Source organism: Homo sapiens, chromosome 7 (assembly GCF_000001405.40).
Source record: "Homo sapiens chromosome 7, GRCh38.p14 Primary Assembly".
Classification (NCBI taxonomy): domain Eukaryota; kingdom Metazoa; phylum Chordata; class Mammalia; order Primates; family Hominidae; genus Homo; species Homo sapiens.
Genome location: NC_000007.14, coordinates 34,803,475 through 34,829,632, shown reverse-complemented (window position 1 = coordinate 34,829,632; position 26,158 = coordinate 34,803,475). Strand labels below are relative to the sequence as shown.

The 26,158-nt window shown below is 40.1% G+C and overlaps 1 protein-coding gene and 1 long non-coding RNA gene across 6 annotated transcripts in view; one reads left to right on the top strand and one right to left on the bottom strand.

The window, feature by feature from the left end:
- The window catches only part of NPSR1-AS1 (NPSR1 antisense RNA 1), a 487,820-nt gene that overhangs the window by 4,699 nt on the left and 456,963 nt on the right, over positions 1 to 26,158 (top strand). The gene's annotated exons all lie outside the window — the stretch shown is intronic.
- Positions 1 to 26,158, bottom strand: part of NPSR1 (neuropeptide S receptor 1) — a 220,115-nt gene that overhangs the window by 48,700 nt on the left and 145,257 nt on the right. For 4 of the 5 annotated variants that reach the window (NM_207173.2, NM_001300933.2, NM_001300935.2 and 1 more), the window contains exons 4-5: positions 17,770 to 17,863; positions 2,031 to 2,232 (exon numbers count right to left, since the gene is read on the bottom strand). In NM_207173.2, coding sequence (NP_997056.1) covers positions 2,031 to 2,232; positions 17,770 to 17,863 — 296 coding nt within the window. The remainder of the gene's footprint in view (positions 1 to 2,030; positions 2,233 to 17,769; positions 17,864 to 26,158) is intronic. The other variant, NM_001300934.2, reaches the window with a different exon arrangement.

Sequence of the window (26,158 nt, the reverse complement as noted above, 5' to 3'; positions counted from 1 at the left end):
CCACTCTGCTGAGCGGGGACTTTGACTGGAGTTCATTTCTTGAGTTGATGGGAAATCAATCAGCAGTGAAGCCAGGACATGTGCTGCCACTGAAATCGATGCCTCAGTTGCTCAGGATGACACAAGCCACTTTCTTCCAAATGCTCTCTGACCGCTGTGGCTCACTTGCCTGTCTCCTCTGCCATGGGCCCCTTCCCATGCGCTGTGACTTACCTTGGATAGTTGTCTAAATAACCTTTTCTCCTTCAAACTTTCTCTCAAGCTCAGCTTGATGGAGTGGAGGGCAATAAGTCAAAATAAAGTGTTGGTGTTAAGTTGTCCATTCAGCAGAGATGACTGGACAACACCCCATTTTGGAAAGGCTGCTGGGTTGGCTTTTGAGGTCACTATGTGCTTGCCCATCTCAATCTCTGATGAGGGGGCGGGGGCAAGGCAGTTAACTTCTTTTAGTCTTAATTCTACTCTTATGAAAAATTCAGGGGTTTGACCATATGATGGATAACGTTTCTCCCAGCTATAGTATTTTATTAGACTAAAGATGAATAATGAGCAGGAAAAGGTGACTCCCACTGTATCAGAAAACACTTGAAAAACATGCCACCAGCTTAGTAATTAAAGAAATGCATATTAAAACAATGAAATACTTTTTAAACTCTTAGGTTGGCAAAGATTTAGTAAGGTAATAGTGCTACCTTCCATTGGGTCAGGGGAGCAGAAAACAAGAGCCCTTGTATGGTATTGCCCAGAATATACCTTTTCTACAAGTGATCTTAGCTAACAGGCCAAGAAGCAATACAGCTTTTCTCAAGGGCAGCTTGTGACTCTGCATCAAAAGTTTTAAAATGTGCATCATCTTTGATCTATACCTTTGATCTAGTAATTCCACAAGAATGAGTTATGAGGAAATAACCAGAGACTCATGTACAGTTTTAAGTACAAGGATTTTTATCACAGCTCTCTTTACACTATCAAAAACAAAGGCTGATAATCTTCCTTTGCTTACAATGTGTTATATGACACACTATGGCAGGCTTAGACCTACCCAAAAGGTGCAGCATCATCATGGCTCAAGGATACACACAATGTGCCAGGTCTCTTCCTGTAGTCTCCCACCCCATCTACACATGCAGAGCCCATTTCAGAGGGTGATCCTGCCACATGGCATGGCCAAGTGAGACCCTACCTTGACCAGGTTGTTGTGCTAATCTCTGTTGAAAGACCCTCTACAGCTCACCATTGGCTGCAGGACAAAGGACTTCCTATGACTTTTTTGCCAAGGTCATTCACAACTGAGCCTCCCCCAGTCACTGGGAGGAGCTCACTGCCAACTTCTGTCCCACTGGCACTGTGTACCTGTCCACTCTGCCTCTACACTCACTCTGATTTCTGGTCATCACAGACTCTGCTTCCTCCCCACTTCTCCCTTATCCTACCTGAATCATTTCCTCCTTCAATGGTGGCTTCCAAAATATATTCCCTGCCATTATCTGACTCCACTGCATAGACAGTTTAGCATATTAGTGCATACTGAGTTTTGTGTTCAGTTTGTTTCAAGTATGTCTATCTTTTCATTTACAAAATCCCTGAAACTGGTAATTTGCCTTATATTTGGAAGGCTGCGAGATATAAAAGAAATAATATGGTATGATTTCAGAAAAACCTGGATATCAATCCTGTTTGATGTTGAATAAGTTACTTAATCACTCTGAGCTTGAGTTTCATCATTCATTAAATTGGGGCAATGGAAATTATTTCACAGGGTTATACTGTGGCTAATGTGATAATTGTTAGCTATTTAGCACAATGCCTGCCCTATATACCCAGTAATTGTTAATTCCCTTCTCCTTACTCTACTTTGAAGAAATTGGGCTTAGCCTATGGTAGCTACACATAAAATCTTGTGGCCTGGTCAGTTCCCTCAAGGGCACTAGGAAAAATGGGTCTGTTGGGGAGGAGAGCAACAGCTGGAGAAACAGGAAAGCCCCCCCCGCCCCACCCCCCCGTGTGGTCCTGTCCTGACGGCTTCTTACCTGATGATTGTCAGAGGGATGAAGTACACCAGGAAGGCCACGATGGTCATGTATGGGGTCCAGTAGGAGTCGTCAGGCCACAGGGCCCAGCACTGCACTTCACCGTTGGACAGTGTCCTCTTCCCAAATATGATCAGGGTGGGAATGGAGAACAGAAAAGACAGGCTCCAGGCGATCACAATGAGGACCCTGGCTTGCTTTTCTGCCCAAAGAAAAGAGAGGAATGTCTGGGTATGTGGCAACCATTTTTGGGAGCACAATGGAGTCTGCTATAGAAAAGGATCACTGTGGGGCAGCCACCCTGGACCTCAAAGAACCTCCCAGAGCCTCAGTTTCCTTCTCTGTAAACAGGGATACAGTATCTCCATACATTGTCAATGTGAAGATTACAAAGGGAAGCTTGAACAGAAGCCAGCACATTGCCTGGCCTAAGGTTGGTGCTTTTTCTTTCCTGATTTACCCATCTGACTTGAGATGCTGACGCATCCATTCCTGCAGTATTAGGGAGCTCAGTTTGTACCATGTACATTTGGTAAGTTGCGGTGCAAATGCTGAGTTGTGTCTACCCATATGCAGTCTCTTGTTACCAGGCAGGGCTACAGCCTTTGGTCCACGTGGCATCTTTTCACTGTACCCAGCACTGCAAAGCACTGGGACAGTTTTTGAGAGTTATTTGCCAAATGGGAAGGAAACTTCTTTCTTTTTTTTTTTTTTTGGTAGGAACATGGGTGGACTTACAAGGCAGAGAAAGAACACTGAACTTCGTTCTGGAGAGTAGGGTGCATTCAAAACCAGCCCAGAAACCTGGTAGCTATGTCTGCACACTGGACTTTAGTTGCAATATTCTGACCTTGGCTAAACCATGCAGTCTCAGCCTCATCTTTTCTTTAAATTGGTATAAAAAATACCTGCTCTGGCCACCTCAGCTGGTTATGATGGGGCTGGAGAGAGACAATTAATACATAAGCAAGTACCTTTAAAATACACCCGTTGTTATGATGTGATGCTTTCTGTCAAGCTGTTGTTGAAACTCTCATCTTAATCCCTCACCTAGCTGGGCTTTCTGTGCTCATTGGCTCTGGGACCTTCTTCCAGAAATAAGAGGCCACCTTGCTCCCCTACTTTCAACTTGGAAAGCAGGTGTGTGTCTTTGGGTGGGGTTGGAATGTAGAGTCAGGTGGTGTTGTTCGACAGTGTGTTGACTGTGGTCGAGCTACAAGAAGTGAGAAAAATCTAGAGGAAACTAGGGACTCTATTAAAATCCAAACCCAAAATATTTAGGAGAATAATATCTAGGGTTCTGTTCTTCCTGAATTGTATGCACTGAAAAGAGATATTAGATTCATGTAGAAAAGAGTTGTTATTGGCCCACTGAGCAAGCAGGAGTCTTGGGGTAGAATTATAATAGCAATCTGATTAAGGTCTTTCCTGTTCCTTACATGCAACCGGTAATCCACTGGGGACAGGGGGAGAGGTTTTCCTGCCTGCATTTGGAAACTCGAGTCCCTTGATGTTAGTGATGACTCACAGGTGACTGACACATTAAGTGGTAAACATTGGTCAATTTAATAATTACATGAAAATTAGTAATTAAAATCCTAGATAACAATAAAAAAACCCCAAATTCCCAAGAAGATTTCAAGTTAAGTCTTTTCTCCCTAGGTGGGCTTGCTTCAAGTAGGAAGTCCAGCAGAGGTACCAGCCCTTCTGCTTTCTATCCTTGTCTGCTATTCCTCCTCCTCCCCCAGGTTGCTATCCACATTGGGGTCTCTCTGGAGCTGGGGTACAGGGAACCAGGAGGAGGAAGAAGACAGAGTTCTTGCTTGACTGCTGCTGTCATCAGAGGGCTTTGTGCTCTCTGTGCCTGGCTGCATCCAAAGCTGATTCTTGGTCCCCTGAGGAACTTTTCTGGGTCCTTTGGAAATTATCCTGTGGGGTCTTGCTGGTGGCCACTTCCTTGACTTGGGCAGTGACCTTCCACCCTCCCTGGTGACCTTCAGGGAGGCCTCTTTCTCTGGCAGAAATGTCTGGGGCAGGATCTTTTTTAACACAGCCTCAGGCAAACTTCATGATGCAGGTTTTACATCAGCCCCCTGGGCTAGGACCACAGCGCCAGCCAGCTTCTCTTCAACATTCTCAGGTGTGATGTAGTCATTGGTCCACAATGCTTTCAAATGCAGGGAACATGTCAAGCTCTGTGAGTCATCATGTGAAGCCCTCTCACTAGACTTAGTTTATGTAGACATCGAGTCACCTGTGATTAGGACAGTATGAAAGGTGAGAGACTGAGAATAGTGTCAACATCTTCACTGGATGAGGGCCATGGCCATATGGGCACAGACATATGGGGAGGTGTTGTAGAAGGTAGTCTAGACTGATAGCATGAGCATCAGAGAAACAGAGAGGGCATGCGTATGCAATACTGAAGGAGAAAAGGCCTGGAGGTGGTCTAGAACGGTAGGAAAATGTCTTCACCACCACCAGGCCATGAGGTACCTAAAAAGGAAGGTTGAGGAGCATCCTCTTGAGATGTCTTAAGGGAATCAGCCACCTCAGGAGGCAGGAGGTGGAGGGAGCCTCCCATTAGGAGTTTGATGGCATAGGGGAGCTGGTCCCTAAAGGAACAGAGAAAAACCAGGCGTGGAGAGAAGCAGTGGGAGTTCAGATTAAGAAAGAAGCAGGGTGGGATGAAGAGGGCAGGTAATAGGACTGGAGGGGGTTCTTCTTGATGGTGGGGGTGTGAAGCCTGATGGGTTTCTATGGTCCTGGGTGACATTAGTAGCTGCCCCCTGTGCTCTTGTTCTTTCAATGGTTAGAATTCTAATGTCATCTTCTTCTATAGGTTCCAGGGCACTCTTAAGGGCAACGTGTGACTCCTGGGCCCCACAAAGTTTCCACTTGATGGATGAACAGTGCATTCACTTTTGAGAGGGATGGACAGGGAAGAGAGTATAGAATCATACTTTAGAATCAATTCTACCAAGGTCTCCGAAGATGTTTCCCCAAAGGCCCAGCAGGGTATAGGCTTGGAGCTGTTTTTCTCTTACTGGTGCTGGGGCTACACTGTGAAAGCCCCACTCTCTTAGGCTGTGACGCAGCTGCCACAGCAGGGAGACTGATGGCCTTCCAGGCAGCTGAGCCCATTTGCCATGAAGAGTGACTTCTCAGGGCTGAAGGATCCAGGATCGAACAGATGAAATGCAGGTTTGCATATAAGGTAGACTGTCTCATGTTTCTCACCCCCGGAAAGTCAGACTCCCTCTTCCATGTGCTCTTGTCCATTTCTGTACTTCTCTGCCGCTTAGCCTTCCTCTTTTCCATGTAACTCATTTACCTTTTTATAAAATCGTATAAGTTACACACATTGATTATAGAAACACTAGCAAATAAAAATAAGCGAAAAGGAAAAAAATCCATAGTGGCACCAACCAGAAACGTCAAGCTTAAATTTTGATAACGCATGCATATATAATACATAGATTACACATTTAGAAATGAGATCATGATACAGATCCTACCTTGTAACCTAATTTTTTTCCTCTGAAAAGCCTGTTATGACCATCTTTTCCTGTTAAGAAATATGAACTTGTACAAGTGGCATTTTTTTTCAGGTAGTAAGATCCTTTCTTCAAATATAATTTTATCTCGAACCCAGTATAGGAAAGTGTTGAAAGCTCAGGTATCTTTGGTTGAAACTGAGACAGCCAGCAGCTCCCAGATCTGCCCTGGAGCAGGCCAGCAAAATGAGCCCTCTGGGGGTCACTGTGGGAAGTGCAATTGGAAAAGCACTGATAAATAACATTTTTTCCGGTGGTTATACTGTACTCCAATTTTATCAATAGCCGATTATTATCTAAGTTGTTTTCCATTTTTTATTATAAATAATTTATATTCATCTATTTTTCTCAGTTCTTGTTATTCCTTAGGATAAACTCTTAGAAACAGAAGATTTATAAATTTTGACAAATATTGTTACATTTCCCTCAAAAGTGCCTACTATTTATGGCTCTCACTGTAACAACAAAAGTACCAATTTCCTTATACTCTCCTAATAGTTGGATAATTCTTCCTTTTAATCTTGTTATGTGGTTGGTAAAATTTTGTATCCAAATGTTCAATTTTGCAATTCTTTAATTAGTAGTCAAAATGAATATTTCTATACATTTTCTATTCATTTATGGTGTTGTTTTTTTTTTTTTTTTTCTGGTGAAGTCTTGCTCTGTTGCCAATGCTAGAGGGCTAGAGTGCAGTGGTGCCATCTCCACTCACCGCAACCTCCGCTTCCCAGGTTCAAGCGATTCTTGTGCCTCAGCCTCTTGAGTAGCGGGATTACAGGTGCATGCCACCATGCCCAGCTAATTTTTGTATTTTTTTAGTAGAGACAGGGTTTCACTATGTTGGCCAGGCTGGTCTCAAACTTGTGACCTCAAGTGATCCACCCACCTCAGCCTCCCGAAGTGCTGGGATTACCGGCGTGGGCCACAGCGCCTGGTCTCATTTATGTTTCTTTGTTTCTTGTTAGTCTGTTCATGCCCTTTGCCCATTTACTCAATTAGAATGTTTTTATTTCTTTGCCAGACTTCTTTATAAAAAGGATATTTTTCTTTGCCTGTTACATAAAAATATTTTCCATTTATAATTTTGCTTTTTAAGTTTGTTTATGGATATTTATTATTTACATAAATAATTTAAATTTTTATGTAGTAAAAAACTATATTTTCCTTCTTGCTTCTGCTTTTGATATGGTTCCTGGAAAGGCCTTTCCTTCACTGAAATTATGAAGGTGTTACCCAAATATTCTTTTACTCCTTTTATGTTTGAAGTGTTAATTTTTTCAATCCAACTAAAATTTACTTTGTTATTAGCTATGGTGGGTGGTGATCTAATATTCTGAAAAAAGGCCAGACAGCTATTTCAACACCGTATACTAATTCATTTTTTGCCAACTGATTTGAAATTTTGTATGATTTATATGTGTTATTCTGGTTCCAGCATTGTTTTAATTATCAAAGTTTTATATTACATTTTAATATAACACTGCATATTTCTCTTTATTATTTTGATATTTTTCTAATTATTCTCATATTCATTTTTGGTGAAGACCTTTAAAATTGTCAACTTTTCTGGAGTTGCTGGCTAAGAAAAATACTGCTTCAGTAAATAGCAGTAAAAAATAAATAAAATATGGCCTCCCCTCAGTTAAGCGGCCATTGCCTTGTGCCTGCACAGCTACATTTGACTCCCTCCTGGTTTCTCCCTGCTCCATGACTCTCCCAGAGAGCCCTGCCACTCTCGGGGAATCTCTTCTTTCTACGGCTTTCTCTCAGCTGAGCCGCATAAACTCCGAACCCTGCCTCTCAGCTGCCCTTAAATTCTGACAAGCTGCGGTACTAAAATGACTCCCGCGTTGGGCTTCCTGGAACCTCTCGTGTCGCGTTCTCACCGGCTGCCCTCACCCTATAAACTTGTGAGTATCAGTTCATCCTCTACAAGGCCAGGGAGTTCTCCCGGGGGCTGAATTATACATTATACACTTGGCTTCCGTGTTTCATCTGCTCCCTCGTGTGCTGGGAATTCTTAGAAGTTTCTGGTATTTGGATGGCTTCTTTCCTTGGCTCTCATTCCAGATGCAGGTCTCCCCCTGTTTTTAGATTTCTTCAGTGACTTTCGTTGGGCCTGGGCAGAGGAAGGCAGCTGGCTAATGTGTTTCTAAGCTTTCATCTTTCCCAGAAGCTACTGATGATGAGGATTTTCCAAGCACCTTATGTTGAGCCTCTCTTAATTTTGTAGTGAGGGAATAAGTTGTTTTACATCTTTAGAAAAGCACTATAATATTAATTGCTGCCTTTCTGATAATTTAGGACACTCTTGATGATATTACACAGTGTCTCCCAGAACTAGACATATTTTCCACGAGCAAACAGCTAATTTTTTAACCTAGTGAATATGGTGAAACATGTAATTCATCATGTCACCCTCTGGCTATGGGTCTCAAGTCTGTACCTCTAACAAGTTTCCTGGGACTTCCCTCCTGCAATTTCCTATACTTATTTTTCCTTCACTTATATTTCTTCACCTTAAAATACTTTGGCGTCGATGTCCTTTTGTCCACCACATTCAACCCTTTCTAAAGTCGGCTAGGCATAAACAAATAGATGGATAAATAAGTGTATCACGGGCCAGGTGCAGTGTCTCATGCCTATAATCCCAGCACTTTGGAAGGCCAAGGTGGATTGCTTGAGCCCAGGAGTTTGAGACCAGCCTGGCCAACACGGTGAAACCCCATCTCTACTAAAATACAAAAATTAGGCGTGGTGATGCACACCTGTAATCCCAGCTACTCGGGAGGCTGAGGCACAAGAATCACTTGAACCTGGGAGGCAGAAGTTGCAGTGAGCTGAGATCGCGCCACTGCGCTCTAGCCCGGGCGACAGAGTGAGACTCTGTCTAAAAAAAAAAAAAAAAAAAAAAAAAAGTGTATCACAAATCCATGAATGTAAACCAAAAATAAAGTTATAAGGCCCCCCAACCTTCCGAATGGATTTCCTCCTCAGCCAAGGCTCTTTTAAGATTTAACCTGAGAGGCTGTTCCAAGCCATGATGGGCAGTGCGGGTTCAGGTGTGTCTCATTATACCTCTCCAGCGTTAACATCAACACAGACTTTAAGTCTGATGAGAAACATTTTACAACATAGTCTCCCTGAAGAGGAAACCTAAAAGTTTCCCCTGCAAATAAGAAGTTTGGTCTCCACAATTCTTTGTCTTAACTCAGACATTCCTTTTTGTTGATCCCAGGTCTTTAGATAAACTCAACCAATTGTCAACCAGAAAAAATTTAAATCTAACTATAATCTGGAAGCTTCGCCCACCCCATCCCCCACTACCCAACCCTGCCATTTCGGACCAACCCTATGTATTTCTTAAATGTGTTTGATTGAAGGTTCATGTCGCCCTAAAATGTATAAAACCAAGCTGCACCCTGACCACCTTGGGCACATATTCTCATGACCTCCTGAGGGCTTTGTCCATTGTCACTGATATTTCACTCAGAATAAATCTCTACAAATATTTTACAGAATTTGATGCTTCATTGACACATTTTTGCATACCTATGTCACGAAATGTCTCTCCTATCTCCCCTGCCTCATCAATTTCCTGCCTCCCCTATCATAATAACTAGGGCTTTACAGTGCCCAGAAAACTTGGTACAGGTCTCAACCCTTCACAAAACAGACACACCAAATGACCGAGAAGAAACCCAGGAAACAAGTATATTTTCTATTTTTAAAATTAACTTCTAAACCACTTTATTGATGTATAATTGGCATATAAAAAGCTATACATATCCAATGCATACCACTTAATGTGTCTGGAGATATGTATACATTCCTGTAACCATCATTACAAGCAATGCCATAAATGTATCCATCACCTCCAAAGGCTTCTTCCTGTCCCCCTTTAGTATTGTTTTGTTTAGTTTTTTCCTTTTGTGGCAAGAGCACTTAACATAAGGTTTATCTTGTTAGCAAATTCTTTTTTTTAAATTATCATTGTACATGTGAACAATGTGCAGGTTGGATACATAGGTATACATGTGCCATGTTGGTTTGCTGCACCCATCAACTTGTCATTTACATTAGCTATTTCTGCTAACGCTATCCCTCCCCCAGCCCCTCACTCCCTGACAGGCCCCGGTGTCTGATGTTCCCCACCCTGCGTCCAAGTGTTTTCGTTGTTCAGTTCCCACCTATGAGTGAGAACATGCAGTGTTTGGTTTTCTGTCTTTGTGACAGTTTGCTGAGAATGATGGTTTCTAGCTTCATCCATGTCCCTGCAAAGGACACAAACTCATCCTTTTTTATGGCTGCATAGTATTCCATGGTGTATATGTGCCATATTTTCTTAATCCAGTCTATCATTGATGGACATTTGGGTTGGTTCCAAGTCTTTGCTATTGTGAATAGTGCTGCAATAGCAATAAACATACGTGTGCATGTGTCTTTATAGTAGCATGATTTATAATCCTTTGGGTATATACCAGTAATAAGATTGCTGGGTCAAATAGTATTTCTAGTTCTAGATCCTTGAGGAATCGCCACACTGTGTTCCACAATGGTTGAACTAATGTACACTCCCACCAACAGTGTAAAAGTGTTCCTATTTCTCCACATCCTCTCCAGCACCTGTTGTTTCCTGACTTTTTAATGGTCACTATTCTAACTGGCATGAGATGGTTTTTCATTGTGGTTTTGATTTGCATTTCTCTGATGATCAGTGATGATGAGCATTTTTTCATGTGTCTGTTGGCTGCATAGATGTCTTCTTTTCAGAAGTGTCTGTTCATATCCTTTGCCCACTTTTTGATGGGGTTGTTTTTTCTCTTGTAAATTTGTTTGAGTTCTTTGTAGATTCTGGATATTAGCCCTTTTCAGATGGGTAGATTGCAAAAATTTTCTCCCATTCTGTAGGCTGCCCATTCACTCTGATGGTAGTTTCTTTTGCTGTGCAGAAGCTCTTTAGTTTAATTAGATCCCATTTGTCAATTTTGGCTTTTGTTGCCATTGCTTTTGGTGTTTTAGTCATGAAGTCTTTGCCCATGCCTATGTCCTGAATGGTATTGCCTAGGTTTTCTTCTAGGGTTTTTATGGTTTTAGGTTTAACATTTAAGTCTTTAATCCATCTTGAGTTAATTTTCGTATAAGGTGTAAGGAAGGGATCCAGTGTCAGCTTTCTCCATATGGCTAGCCAGGTTTCCCAGCACCATTTATTAAATAGGGAATCGTTTCCCCATTTCTTGTTTTTGTCAGGTTTGTCAAAGATCAGATGGTTGTAGAAGTGTGGTGTTATGTCTGAGGGCTCTGTTCTGTTCCATTGGTCTATATCTCTGTTTTGGTACAAGTACCTTGCTGTTTTGGTTACTGTGGCCTTGTACTACAGTTTGAAGTCAGGTAGCTTGATGTCTCCAGCTTTGTTCTTTTTGCTTAGGATTGTCTTGGCAATGCAGGCTCTTTTATGGCTCCATATGAACTTTAAAGTAGTTTTTTCCAATTCTGTGAAGAAAGTCATTGGTAGCTTGATGGGGATGGCACTGAATCTATAAAATACCTTGGGCAGTATGGCCATTTTCACTATATGGATTCTTCCTATCCATGAGCATGGAATGTTCTTCCATTTGTTTGTGTCCTCTTTTATTTCCTTGCGCAGTGGTTTGTAGTTCTCCTTGAAAAGGTCCTTCACATCCCTTGTAAGTTGGATTCTTAGGTATTTTATTCTCTTTGTAGCAATTGTGAATGGGAATTCACTCATGATTTGGCTCTCTGTTTGTCTCTTATTCATGTATAGGAATGCTTGTGATTTTTGCGCATTGATTTTGTATCCTGAGACTTTGGTGAAGTTGCTTATCAGCTTAAGGAGATTTTGGGCTGAGACAATGGGGTTTTCTAAATATACAATCATGTGGTCTACAAATAGGGACAATTTGACTTCTTCTTTTCCTAATTGAATACGCTTTATTGCTTCCTTTTGCCTGATTGCCCTGGCCAGAACTTCCAACACTATGTTGAATAGGAGTGGTGAGAGAGGGCATCCTTGTCTTGTGCCGGTTTTCAAAGGGAATGCTTCCAGTTTTTGCCCATTCAGTATGATATTGGATGTGAGTTTGTCATAAATAGCTCTTATTATTTTGAGATATGTTCAATCAATACCTAGTTTATTGACAGTTTTTAGCATGAAGGGCGTTGGATTTTGTTGAAGGCCTTTTTTGTATCTATTGAGATAATCATGTGATTTTTGTCATTGGTTCTGTTTATGTGATGGATTACGTTTATCAATTTGCATATGTTGAACCAGCCTTCCATCCCGGGGATGAAGCCGACTTGATCATGGTGGATAAGCTTTTTGATGTGCTGCAGGATTCAGTTTGCCAGTACTTTATTGAGGATTTTCACATCGATGTTCATCAAGGATATTGGTCTAAAATTCTCTTTTTTTTGTTTTGTCTCTGCCAGGCTTTGGTATCAGGATGATGCTGGCCTTATAAAATGAGTTAGGGAGGATTCCCTCTTTTTCTATTGATTGGAATAGTTTCAGAAGGAATGGTACCAACTCCTCTTTGTACCTTTGGTAGAATTCAGTTGTGAATTGGTCTGGTCCTGGACTTTTTTTGGTTGGTAGCCTATTAATTATTGCCTCAATTTTGGAGCCTGTTAATGGTCTATTCAGAGATTCAACTTCTTCCTGGTTTAGTCTTGGGAGGGTGTATGTGTCCAGGAATTTATCCATTTCTTCTAGATTTTCTAGTTTATTTGCATGGAGGTGTTTATAGTATTCTCTGATGGTAGTTTGTATTTCTGCGGGATTGGTAGTGATATCCACATTATTATTTTTTATTGCATCTATTTGATTCTTCCCTCTTTTCTTCTTTATTAGTCTTGCTAGCAGTCTATCAATTTTGTTGATCTTTTCAGAAAACCAGCTCCTGGATTCATTGACTTTTCGAAGGGTTTTTGTGTCTCTATCTCCTTCAGTTCTGCTCTGATCTTAGTTATTTCTTGCCTTCTGCTAGCTTTTGAATTTGTTTGCTCTTGCTTCTCTAGTTCTTTTAATTGTGATGTTAGGGTGTCAATTTTAGATCTCTCCTGCTTTCTCTTGTGGGCATTTAGTGCTATAAATTTCCCTCTACACACTACTTTAAATGTGTCCCAGAGAATCTGGTACATAGTGTCTTTGTTCTTATTGGTTTCAAAGAACATCTTTATTTCTGCCTTCATTTCACTATGTACCCAGTAGTCATTCAGGAGCAGGTTATTCAGTTTCCATGTAGTTGTGCGGTTTTGAGTGAGTTTCTTAATCCTGAGGTCTAATTTGATAGCACTGTGGTCTGAGAGACAGTTTGTTGTGATTGCTGTTCTTTTACACTTGCTGAGGAGTGCTTTACTTCCAATTATGTAGTCAATTTTGGAATAAGTGCAATGCGGTGCTGAAAAGAATGTATATTCTGTTGTTTTGGGGTGAAGAGTTCTGTAGATGTCTATTAAGTCTGCTTGGTGCTGAGCTGAGTTCAAGTCCTGAATATCCTTGTTAACCTTCTGTCTCGTTGATCTGTCTAATATTGACAGTGGGGTGTTAAAGTCTCCCATTATTATTGTGTTGGAGTCTAAGTCTCTCTGTAGGTCTCTAAGGACTTGCTTTATGAATCTGGGTGCTCCTGTGTTGGGTGCATATATATTTAGGATAGTTGGCTCTTCTTGTTGAATTGATCCCTTTACCATTATGCAGTGGCCTTCTTTGACTCTTTTGATCTTTGTTGGTTTAAAGTCTATTTTATCAGACACTAGGATTGCAACCCCTGCTTTTTTTTGCTTTCCATTTTCTTGGTAGATCTTCCTCCATCCCTTTATTTTGAGCCTATGTGTATCTCTGCACATGAGATGAGTCTCCTGAATACAGCACACTGATGGGTCCTGACTCTTTATCCAATTTGCCAGTGTGTGTCTTTTAATTGGAGCATTTAGCCCATTTACATTTAAGGTTAATATTGTTATATGTGAATTTGATCCTATCATTATGATGTTAGCTGGTTATTTTGCCCGTTAGTTGATGCAGTTTCTTCCTAGCATCAATGGTCTTTACAATTTGGCATGTTTTTGTAGTGGCTGGTACTGGTTGTTCCTTTCCATATTTAGTGCTTCCTTCAGGAGCTCTTGTAAGGCAGGCCTGGTGGTGACAAAATCTCTCAGCATTTGTTTTTCTGTAAAGGATTTTATTTCTCCTTCACTTATGAAACTTAGTTTGGCTGGATATGGAATTCTGGATTGAAAATTCTTCTCTTTAAGAATGTTGAATATTGGCCCCCACTGTCTTCTGGCTTGTAGGGTTTCTGCCAAGAGATCTGCTGTTAGTCTGATGGGCTTCCCTTTGTGGGTAACCTGACCTTTCTCTCTGGCTGCCGTTAACATTTTTTCCTTCATTTTAACCTTGGTGAATCTGACTACATGTCTTGGGGTTGCTATTCTCGAGGAGTATCTTTGTGGTGTTCTCTGTATTTCCTGAATTTGAGTGTTGGCCTGCCTTGCTATTTTGGGCAAGTTCTGGATAATATCATGAAGAGTGTGTTCCAACTTGGTTCTGTTCGCCCCATCAGTTTCAGGTACACTAATCAAATGTAGATTTGGTCTTTTCACATAGTACCATATTTCTTGGAGGCTTTGTTTGTTTCTTTTTAATCTTTTTTCTCTAACCATGTCTTCTCGCTTTATTTCATTAATTTGATCTTCAATCACTGACACCCTTTCTTCCACTTGATTGAATTGGCTATTGAAGCTTGTGCATGCCTCACGAAGTTCTTGTGCCATGGTTTTCAGCTCCTTCAGGTCATTTAAGGTCTTCTCTACACTGTTTATTCTATTTAGCCATTCGTCTAACCATTTTTCAAGGTTTTTAGCTTCCTTGCAATGGGTTTGAACATGCTCCTTTAGCTCGGAGGAGTAGTTTGTTATTACCGACCTTCTGAAGCCTACTTCTGTCAACTCGTCAAAGTCATTCTCTATCCAGCTTTGTTCCATTGCTGGCGGGGAGTTGCAGTCCTTTGGAGGAGAAGAGGCGCTCTGATTTTTAGAATTTTCAGCTTTTCCGCTCTGGTTTCTCCCCATCTTTGTGGTTTTATCTACCTTTGGTCTTTGATATTGGTGACCTACAGATGGGGTTTTGGTGTAGATGTCCTTTTTGTTGATGTTGGTGCTATTCCTTTCTGTTTGTTAGTTTCCGTTGTAACAGTCAGGTCCCTCAGCTGCAGGTCTGTTGGAGTTTACTGGAGATCCACTCCAGACCCTGTTTGCCTGGGTATCACTAGCAGAGGCTGTGAACAGCAAATATTGCAGAACAGCAAACATTGCTGCCTGATCCTTCCTCTGGAAGCTTTGTCCCAGAGGGGCACCCACCTATATGAGGTGTCTGTTGGCCCCTACTGGGAGATGTCTCCCAGTTAGCATACACAGGTGTCAGGGACCCACTTGAGGAGGCAGTCTGTCCATTCTCAGAGCTCAAACGCCATGCTGGAAGAACCACTGTGCTCTTCAGAGCTGTCGAACAGGGACGTTTAAGTCTGCAGAAGCTGTCTGCTGCCTTTTGTTCAGCTATGTCCTGCCCACAGAGGTGGAGCCTATAGAGGCAGTAGGCCTTGCTGAGCTGCAGTGGGCTCCACCCAGTTTGAGCTGCCGGGCCACTTTGTTTACCTACTCATGCCTCAGCAATGGTGGACGCTCCTCCCCTAGCCAGGCTGCTGCCTCACAGTTCAATTTCAGACTGCTGTGCTAGCAGTGAGCAAGGCTCCAGACCTCCTGAGCCAGGCATGGGAGAGAATCTCCTTGTCTGCTCGTTTCTAAATCCTTGGGAAAAGTGCAGTATTTGGCAGGAGTGTCCCAGGTACAGTGTGCCCCAGCTTCCCTTGGCTAGGAAAGGGACATCCCCCAACCCTTTGTGCTCCCCAGGTGAGGCGATGCCCTGCCCTGCTTTGGCTCACCCTCCATGGGCTGCACCCACTGTCCAACCAGTCCCAGTGAGATGAACCAGGCACCTCAGTTGGAAATGCAGAAATCACCTGTCTTCTGCATCGATCATGCTGGGAGCTGCAGACCAGAGCTGTTCCTATTTGGCCATCTTGGAACAGATCCCCAGCAAATTCTTAAGTATACAATTTAGTATTTTTACTCATATGTCTTATGCTGTACAGTAGGCATAACAAGCATGATCAAAATAAATTCATTTTAATTGCACACAACACATTGATATGTTCTTCATGTAAAAATTACCACCTTGCATATAAGTTCCTGTGGTGGTCACACCACTGGTCTAACTCCCATAACTAGAAGTGAGGTCAAATGTCAAGTTTTGTGTGTTTTTGCAAATAGTTTTTTATTTTTCCTGGAGTTTTCTTTTGTGTGTTCTCTCTTTCTGCTCCTCTCTGTCTTTCTGTACACAATATCTAGCATTGTTTTGAGTTTTTGACTTTAATGTTATCGTTCACATGGATTTTTGTGCATATTGTTTTTGTCACTCAGCATACAATATGGATATGTTCATGTTGATGCATATTACTGCCCATGGCTCTACCACTTCCACATTGAGAGGCAGGCTATATAGCATTTGAGGGCGCTGGAGCTAGACCCAGACTGTGTGGGTTCAAATCCTGTTCCTGCACTTACTAGCTGTGACCTTGGGCAAATTACTTTCACTCTTGGAACAACGATTGCCTTACCTGTAAAATGCAGATAATAATAGAGCCCACCTCACAGAGATATTATGAATATTAAAATATTTAATATGTATGAATCAGTTAGAATCATGAATGACACCTAGTATGCAATCAATAAACAGAAGGTACTGAAACTTCTTCCATAGACTAGTTAGCCATTCCTCCACTGAGACACACCAAGGTTAGCGATGAATTCCTGCTATTGTAGGCAGTGCCACAATATACATCACATATGTATACATGCACACGTGTGGGTGTTTCTCCAGAGCAGATACCAAGAAGTCATATCAAAGGGCTGCACATTTTATATTTCAATAAGATGTGTTTACTTATACCCCTGTCAATAGTAAATGAAATTACCCTATTTCACTCCACTTCTTGTAGATCCTTGATGACGTTAATTATATTTATCCTAAAATTCTGCTACTTCTATTAAATTTGCTTCCCTAGATCCAAATTGTGTGGAATGAGATTTTAAAGGTATTATCTGTTTTCTACAGTTTGGATTTTGTCACTTTTTAAATAATATTTGATTGCACTCATTTTTGTGGTCAAGATTTTTTGTTAGGTTCTTTATCAGTTTTCGAAGTTATCTGGAGGAAGGGAGAACAGGTTGCTAAACAATGGCTTTGTATTTGCTTTCAGGGTGTATGGAGGAGAGTGGTCTCTGATTGTGGGCAGAGCAGTAGGCAGCTAGTCTTGTGAATATGTACTCACCCTTCCTCTAGGGCATTACTGCTCCCCAGGGCCCCTCTCTGCCTCTTCAAATCCAGGGAAACTTGCTGTGATTAATCCTCTGTGTTGTACTTCAGAAATCACCTTGTCAGTTGCCTCGGGTCCTCTCCTACACTCCACATTGATGCAGCCTGTTCAGGAAGTGCTCCTAAGGCCTCCCATCCCACTTCAGCATCTCCTAGGGGTTTTGTGGGCTGTGTGGTCTCAGCCTTCCCTCTGACCCATCTGCTTCCTTTTCTTAGGGATCCCTAACCATTTCTGGATCAAAGAGAGTTTCCTTATTTTTTTTTCCCAATACGATGATCAATTAAAAACATCTTTCCAATTATTTCTATGGTTTTGGATAAGGAGAACAAGGTGTTTGTTTCTGGAAAATGAGAAGTTAGTGTGGGAGAGTTCATTTCTTTGGACAGGTATGCATGTCAACACTGCTCTAGAGGAAAAAGATGGAAGCATCAGCATCAAGCTGAATGGTCACAAAGTGGGTCAGCCACCCACCTTCCTTAGTGGCTCTGGGCTGTCCATGGGAACCATCGGCATTTTTCCAGGCATCTAAGTTTTCTTTTGTACATCTTTTTAGACAATCAGACCCATGAAGTGAGGAAAGAGGTGGAAGAGGAGAATGAAGAGAGAAGAAAGAGAAGGAAAGAGGAGGAAGATCACTATTATTAAGAGTAAAATATTAGTGAAAATGATCCTACCCTCACTCAAGGACAGTTCTTTATGAAAGAGCACCTGGTAAAGCCAGCTCACCTCCTTGAAGGAACTTCATGGGGTAGACGATGGCATGGTATCTGTCTATGCTGAGGGACACCAGGACGTAGGTAGAGGCGTAGAGCAGCACAACCTAAAGACAGAAATGAGAGGAAGCTTATGACTTCAGAGAGGTGAGGGAAGGCACATAATGGAAAGAATAGCACCTTGTGTTATTTAGAAATCTGAGAGGTGAACCAAAGAAGGGGTGAGTGTTGGATTAGGAAGGGAAATAACTCTCTTACATGGACAAGAGAAAGGGAAATACTGGGTGAAAGAGGGCAGTTTCCCAGCAAAGACCCCACCCTCAAGCCTGGAAACCAGTGGTCTTAAATGAGAACAGGTATTCCTGTTTTTGTGCCCAAAAAGTTGCCTTTTGGCCAGCTACATGCCCCTATCCTGTACCCATATAAACCCCAAATCCCAGGCTCCAGGAGGAGATGAGCAGACGAATGGCAGAACAGCATGGCAGAGAAGGAGAGAAGAGAAGGAGGGTCTGAACACTAAGAAGAGTTCAGCTGGGGACAATCAGACAGGAGAATGGCCCTGGACAGCCAAACTCCAGGGGAAGATCATCTTCCCACTCCATCCCCCTTCCAGTTCCCCATCCATCCCACTGAGAACCACCTCCACCACTCAATAAAACTCCTGCATTCATCCTTCAAGTCTGTGTGTGACCTGACTCTTCCTGGCCTATGGACGAGGACATGGCCACCAAGAGGGCACTGAGCTGGTTACCACTTAAGCCATCTGCAGATGGCAGAGTTAAAACAGCACTATAACACTGGGGCTTCAGGAGTCACAGGCACCCACCCCAGACACTACTGTGGGGCCGGAGTTCAATGCACTTGCCCTGGCTCCTGCACCTACCCTTCTGCATGCTCCCCCTCCTATAAGGAGTTTGAGCTTGAGGAAGCTGAACAGAGAGCCATACCCCTGTCCCATGTCCTGTGATGGATGGACCAGGGAACTCTCCCTTTTCATCTCCACACCAGGAAGCAGAGTTTGGTTCCTGGTGCTAGAATTTGTACTGCTGGCCATGATGAGTGACAATGCTTCAGTTCTTTCTTGCTCACTTATTCCCTTGGCCTCTTGGAAACTCCATATTTCAGGATCAGTCCTTGACATTTGCATGGTACATTTGTTTGGAATTGACTTTTAAAGCTAAACTAATTTTTTCTGCCACAATTGACATTCCAGAATAATTAGAAACAAAAGTTCATTTGCTTTTTATCAGTGGGAGTCAAGAGATGATAGAAGGGTTCCGGTTTTAGGGAGCCTATGTGCGGTGTTGAATCATTTATCATCATCAGCACTGACACCATCAGAGAGCTCCCCTTTTTCATCCACTTCATTAGGCTCAGGATCTGGGTCTCCTCTTCCTTCCCACTGTCTCTTTTATTAACTTTACCCACACCTTTTAATTATCTGTGTACAATCTTTTTTTGCATAATTAGCAGAAAGGGAAATTGGGATTTAAGAAGTTAATTTCTCTTATGTGAAGAGCATATTTAGAATGTGATTAAATGAAATATATTTGAAGGGATGATCAAGGTGGACATTTTTCAGGTAACTTGGAGCCTCATTTCTATCAAGAGTCTGGCTGTATCTCCACTTTGTAACATTAGGTTCAAATCCAGAGGGAGTAGAAGAGTAACTTGTAGATTGAAGTCTAATGGAGAGCATTTACTTCACTTTCTTCTTGGCAGTTATCTTTGTTCTGAATTCGTGCCTTTTTGTTCTTTCTCTGGCTCAGACAAATAACAATCAAGCACATTGTGGTTCTTTATGATTTGTTATTTCTACAAATGCATCTCAGCACTAATGTTGTGAAAGCCACCATAGGGAGGAGGTTCTGAGGAATGATTAGAAATTGAAGGCTCGTAAGAAAGAATGAGATAATGTGCTTTGCAGGGACATGGATGGACATGGATGGAGGGCATTATCTTCAGCAAACTAATGCAAGAACAGAAAACAAAATACTGTATATTCTCACTTATAAGTGGAAGCTAACTGATGAGAACACACAGATACATAGAGGGGAACAAAACACACTGGGGCCTATAGGAGGGTGTAGGGTGGGAGGAGGGTTAGGATCAGGAAAAATAACTAATGAATATGAAGCTTAATCCCAGCACTTTGGGAGGCCGAGGCGGGTGGATCACGAGGTCAGGAGATCCAGACCATCCCGGCTAAAACGGTGAAACCCCGTCTCTACTAAAAATACAAAAAATTAGCCGGGCGTAGTGGCGGGCGCCTGTAGTCCCAGCTACTCGGGAGGCTGAGGCAGGAGAATGGCGTGAACCCGGGAGGCAGAGCTTGCAGTGAGCCGAGATTGCGCCACTGCACTCCAGCCTGGGCGACAGAGCGAGACTCCGTCTCAAAAAAAAAAAAAAAAAAAAATACCTGGGTGATTAAATAATCTGTACAACAAACCCCCATGACACAAGTTTACCTGTATAAGAAACCTGCACATGTACCCCTCAACTTAAAATAAAAGTTAGAAAAAAGGTTTAAAAAAAGAAATTGAAGGCTCCTCTGAAAACTAAAAGAAAAAATTATCTCTTGGGAAAAGGTGACAAATAGAGAAAGAGAAAAATGGAAGACTAGCTTTAAGAAAAAAAAAATCGATCGTCTACTTAGACAAAACTGGGGTTTCTACCTGTGATCCATGAATTTAAAATTATTAAGGCTGGCAACAAACAGAGGAGGAGGTGGCATCAGAGAAGGATGAAAAAGAAAGCACACAATGGCAGAACCCTGTGGAGTGGAACATCATGGTGAGGTTATAAGGATCTTGGGGCTCTGTGGCTGTCTTGAGGGAGGTGACAGGCACAGTTCAGAATCTGGAGCAGGAGGAAGAGCCATAAATAAGAGTGTCCAGAAGAGCAGTCAATGTTGATAAAAAGATGCTGACTTTGAGATACAATCAAAAGAGTATTTAATTTCAGAGATTAACCATCTTCAGGCATTTAAGGCAGGGTAAAAAAATTTAAAAGTTACCTAAAAGAAATGCATCTTAAATTATCATACCTCTTTCCCACAAAAAGTAATGCCAGAAAACACTATAACAACATGTTCAGAGTTTTGAAAAAAAATTGTGATTCAAGAACTTTGTAAATATGATTTCTGTGCCAAGGCACAGAACAGTTTTCTCAGATATATAAGAAGGAAGAAAATATAATATTTTATAGTCTTCCTGGCATACTTCAGCTAATTGAGAATTGAATTAAAATTAAGAATTCAAGAAGAGGGAAGAGCATAGAATAATAACAACTATGGTAAGCAATGAAGTTAGAAACACATGAAATGCTTACAAAATAATTATAAATATGACTATGGAACATTTCAGGAAAAACTTAAGGGAGTTGAGTGAAGGGACAGAGTACAAAGAAAGACATCATGTTCAATTTTGTTATGTATTTTGGGTCTCTCTTTTGTTTTTTAACCTTGATAGAGATATATTAAAGCTAAAAGTTAAAGATAAGCTATGATAGAGTAAAATAAAAATGGAGAAATTTTAATTAGTTTCCTATGGTGGCTGTAACAAACTACTACAAACTTTATGGCTTAAAACAACATAAATTTATTCTCGCACAGCTCTGGAGACCAGAAGTCCAAAATTAGTTCTACTGGGCAAAAATAAAAGTTTGGCAAGCCCATGAGTCCTCCAGAGACTCTAGGGGAGAATCTGCCCCTTGCCTCTTCTGGCTTCGGGTGACTGCCAGCAGTCCTTGGCGTGTGACCATATCGGCCCAAGCTCTGCCTTTTCCTCTTCTGTCTGTGTGTCACACTCCCTTCTACCACCCTGTTATGATTACATGTGGGAATCACTGGGATAAACCAGAATAATCTCCCAGTTTTAAGATCTTTAATTTGATTACATTTGTGAAGTTCCCTTTTCTTATATAAGGTAACATCACAGGTTCCAGGGATTAGGATACGGATTTTGTGGTGGTGGTGGTGGTGGGGGGTAGGGGCGGGGAGCTTTTTTCAAGCCTACCACAATTGATAATCAAATAAAAAGAAAAAACAAGTAAATAGCAACAAACAAACAAAAAACCCTTAATATAGAAAGACTAAAATAAGGAACTGAAATTACACCAAACCAAAACACTATTTGTCGCAATACATGTGAATGACTTAAGGTCTTTCATTAAGAAAATAACTTATTTTAAAACTTCCCTAAAATCTAATTCTATGCTGTTTAAAAGAGAAAAATTTTAAACCACATCACTTAGATATCTAAGTGTGGAAATAGAGGGATGGCCAAAGGTATATCAAGAAAGTAAAAATTAAAGAAGGCATTCATTACAACATTGCTATTAGACAAATTAAATTCAAAGCAAACAGCATTTCATGTGATAAAGGATTATTTATATTGATAAAAGATACAACACATGATGGCAATAGGATATTCACAAAGTTATATGTAACAAGTAACATAATGCTAAATATATAATGAAACCGTTCAAAGTTTTACAGAAGAATAAACAAAAATATACAGATAGAAAAAAATAGACTTCATAACATAAGAATAGTACACATTGCTATAAAATATCTAGACATTTCAAAAATTGGCGATATACTAAACTACCAAGAAAAAAAACCCTCTCAATAGCTCTAAAAAGTAAGACTTACGCAAATCACATATTTAAAACAATGAGCAATGAAGCAGAAATTAGTAACATGTTTTTTTAAAAAATACCACTTGGAAATTTAAACACCCTCATAATTAACTCGAGTCAAGAAGGAAATCAAAGTACAATTATAGTCAATTCATAAATGTCAACAATGAAAACTCTACACATCAACAACATATGGGATACCATTTGGAGAACAGATGGCAGCTTGAGGACATATGTCTGAATTCTCACTACCCCACCCCTTAATTCTGACAGAAATGACCTAGGAAATATAAAACTAAAGAAAATCTTGCACAGAGAAGTGAGACTTAAATGCTGGAAACAGAGAAATTTTACTTAGCAAAATGCCAGATTGTATTCATATAAAGGAGGATCCCTGGACTGACTTTAAGAAAATAGACTTTATTTTTCAGAACAATTTTATATTTACAAAAAATTGCAAACAACACAGAGGGTTTCCCTATGACTCCCTCCCATCTATATACTTTTCCTTGTCATTAACATCTTGTAGTTCATTTGTTAAAACTGATGAACCAATATGGATATATTATCATTAACTAAAGTCCATTGTTTATATTAAGGTTCACTCTGTGTTGGACAGTTCTATGGGTTTTGACCATTGCATAATGTTATGTACCCACCATTATAATATCAGAAGAGTTTCACTGTCCTAAAAATCCACTGCTTTTATCTATTCATCTCTTTCCTACTCCAAATCTCTGGCAACACTGGTTTCTTGCTCTTCTACAGTTTTGCCTTTTTGAGAATGTAATATAGTTGAATCATTTAGTATGTAGCTTTTTCAGACTGGCTTCTTTCACTTAGCAATGGGCATTTAAGATTCCTCCATGTCTTTTCATGGCTGGATAGCCCATTTTGTTATATCATTGAATAATATCCCATTTAATGGATGTACCGCAGCTTATCCATTCAGCTTTTGAGGAACCTCTTGTTTGCTTCCAGTTTTTGGTGATTATGAATAAAGCTACAATAAACATTCTTCTGTGGATATAAGTTGTCAACTCAACTGAGTAAATACATAGCCTTACAATTGCTGGGTTGTATGGTAAGACCATGCTTAGTTTTGTAAGAAACTGCTAAATTATCTTCCAAAGTGACTGTACTATTTTGAATTCCCAGCAGCAATGAATGAAAGTTCCTGTTAATATTCATCCTCATCAGCCATTGGTATTTTCAGTTTTTTTTGAATTTTAGTGATTATCTAATAGATGTGTAGTGTTGTCTCACTGTTGTTTTAATTTGCAATTCCCTAATGGCATATGATTTTGAGCTTCTTTCTATCTGTTTACTTGCCATCTTCTTGGTGAAGGGTTTATTCAGATCTTTTGGCCGTTTTTGAAATGAGTTGTTTTCTTATTGTTGAGTTTTAAGAGTTCTTTGTACATATTTGGATACAAATCCTTTATGAAATATATATTCTGCAGATATTTTCTCCCATTCTGAGGGCTGTCTTTTCATTCTCTTAAACAGTGTCCTTTGCAAAGTTGTAAATTTTCATAATGTCCAACATTTCAATCATTTTTCATGGATTATGCTTCTGGTGTTGTATCTAAAAACTCATAGACAAAGAGTAGGTCCCTTAAATCTTCTCCTATGTTATCTTCTAGTCGTTTTATATAATAGTATTGAGCATTATGTTATATCTATGATCTAAACTGAGTTGGTTTTTGTGAAAGGCATAAGGTCTACATTAAGTTTTTTTTTTTTTTTTTTTTTTGCATGTGGATATTCAACCACTCTTTCAACTAAGACAGCCATTCTTGAAAAGGCTATCTCTCAATGCCTTTGCTCATTTGTCAAAGACTAGTTGACTATCTTTTTGTATGTCTATTTCTGGGCTCTCTGTTCTGTTTCATCAATCTACTTGTTGATTCTTTTACCAATACCATGCTGTCTTGATTATGAAGCTTTATAGTAAGTCTTAAAATCAGGTAGTGTTGGTTGTTCAAACTTGCTCTTTTTCTTTAATATTGCATTGGTTATTCTGTGTCTCTTGCCTTTCCATATGATTTTAGAGTTTGTTTATATTGATAAAATATCTCGTTGGGACTTTGATTGGAATTGTATTGAATTTATAGATCACGTTGGGCAGAATAGACATCTTAACAATATTAAGTCTTCCTATTCATGAACATGGAACATCTCTTCATTTATTTAGATATTTGCTTTTTTTTCCATCAGTTTTGTAGTCGTCTTCAATAGATCTTGTATATATTTTGTTAGATTTACACCTAAGTTTCATTTTTTGGTGTTCACATAAATGGTATTGTGTTTTTAATTTCAATCTCAACTTGGTAATTGCTGGAAAAAAACAACTGACTTTTGTATATTAACCTTCTATTCTTCAGTGTTGCCATTTTTTTGCCTACTAGGTCTGGAAGTTTCTTTTTTGTTTGTTTTTATTTTTCTTGTCTATTCTTTCAGATTTTAATATAGAAAATTACAAATTTATTAACAAAGACATTTTTATTTCATCTTTTCCAATGTATAAACTTTTTATTTACTTTTCTTGTCCTGTTAAATTATCTAAGACATCTAGTTCAGTGTTGAATGGGAGTGGCGAGAGAGGACATCTTTACCTTGTTCCCAGTCTTAGGACAAAAGCACCTAATTTCTTGCCATTAAATATGAGGTTAACTGTATGGTTTTTTTAGATGCTGTTAATGAAGTTGAGGCAGTTTCTCTTTGTTTCCAGTTTGCTGAGTTTTTATTATAAATGGATGTTGAATTTTGTTAAATGCTTTTCCTGTGTCCATTGATGGAAAAATCACATAATTTTCCTTCTTTATCTTGTTTGTGTGATAGATTATATTAATTGATTTTTAAATATTTAACCAGATTTTCATGCCTGGAATAAATCTCACTTGGCCACGGACTATAATTCTTTCTATACATGATTATACCTTTAAACAAAAATTTAAGTTGCTAATATTTATTGAGAATTTTTGCATTTATGTTCATGAGGGATATTGTTCTGTAGTTTTCCTTTCTTTTAATATCATTGGTTTTAGAATTAGGGCATTTCTGGCCTCATGGAACAAGTCAGCAAGTATATGAATTAGGAATGGTTCCCTTTTCATCTGTTTTCTAGAGAAGACTGCAGATAATTGTTACCATTTTTTTTTTAAATGATTGACAGAATTCACTAATGAACCCATCTGGGCCTGGTGTTTTCTTTTGTGGAAGATTATTAATTATTAATTCAGTTTCTTTAGTAGGTATAGGCCTATTCAAATTATCTATTTCACTTTATGTGAGTTTTGGCAGATTGAGCTTTTCAAGGAATAGGTTCATTTCATCTAAGCTATCAAACTTGTGGGCATAGAGTTGTTTATGGTATTTATTTATCATTCTTTTAATGTCCACAGAATCAGTAGTGATGACCCCTCTTTCATTTCTGATATTAGTAACTTGTGGCTTCCCTCTTCTTTTTTTTTTTTCTACTCATGCTATCTTTTTTTAAATTTTATTTTATTACTATTATACTTTAAGTTTTAGGGTACATGTACACAATGTGCAGGTTAGTTACATATGTATACGTGTGCCATGCTGGTGTGGTGCACCCACTAACTTGTCATTTAGCATTAGGTATATCTCCTAATGCTATCCCTCCCCCCTCCTCCCACCCCACAACAGTCCCCAGAGTGTGATGTTCCCCTTCCTGTGTCCATGTGTTCTCATTGTCCAATTCCCACCTATGAGTGCGAACCTGCGGTGTTTGA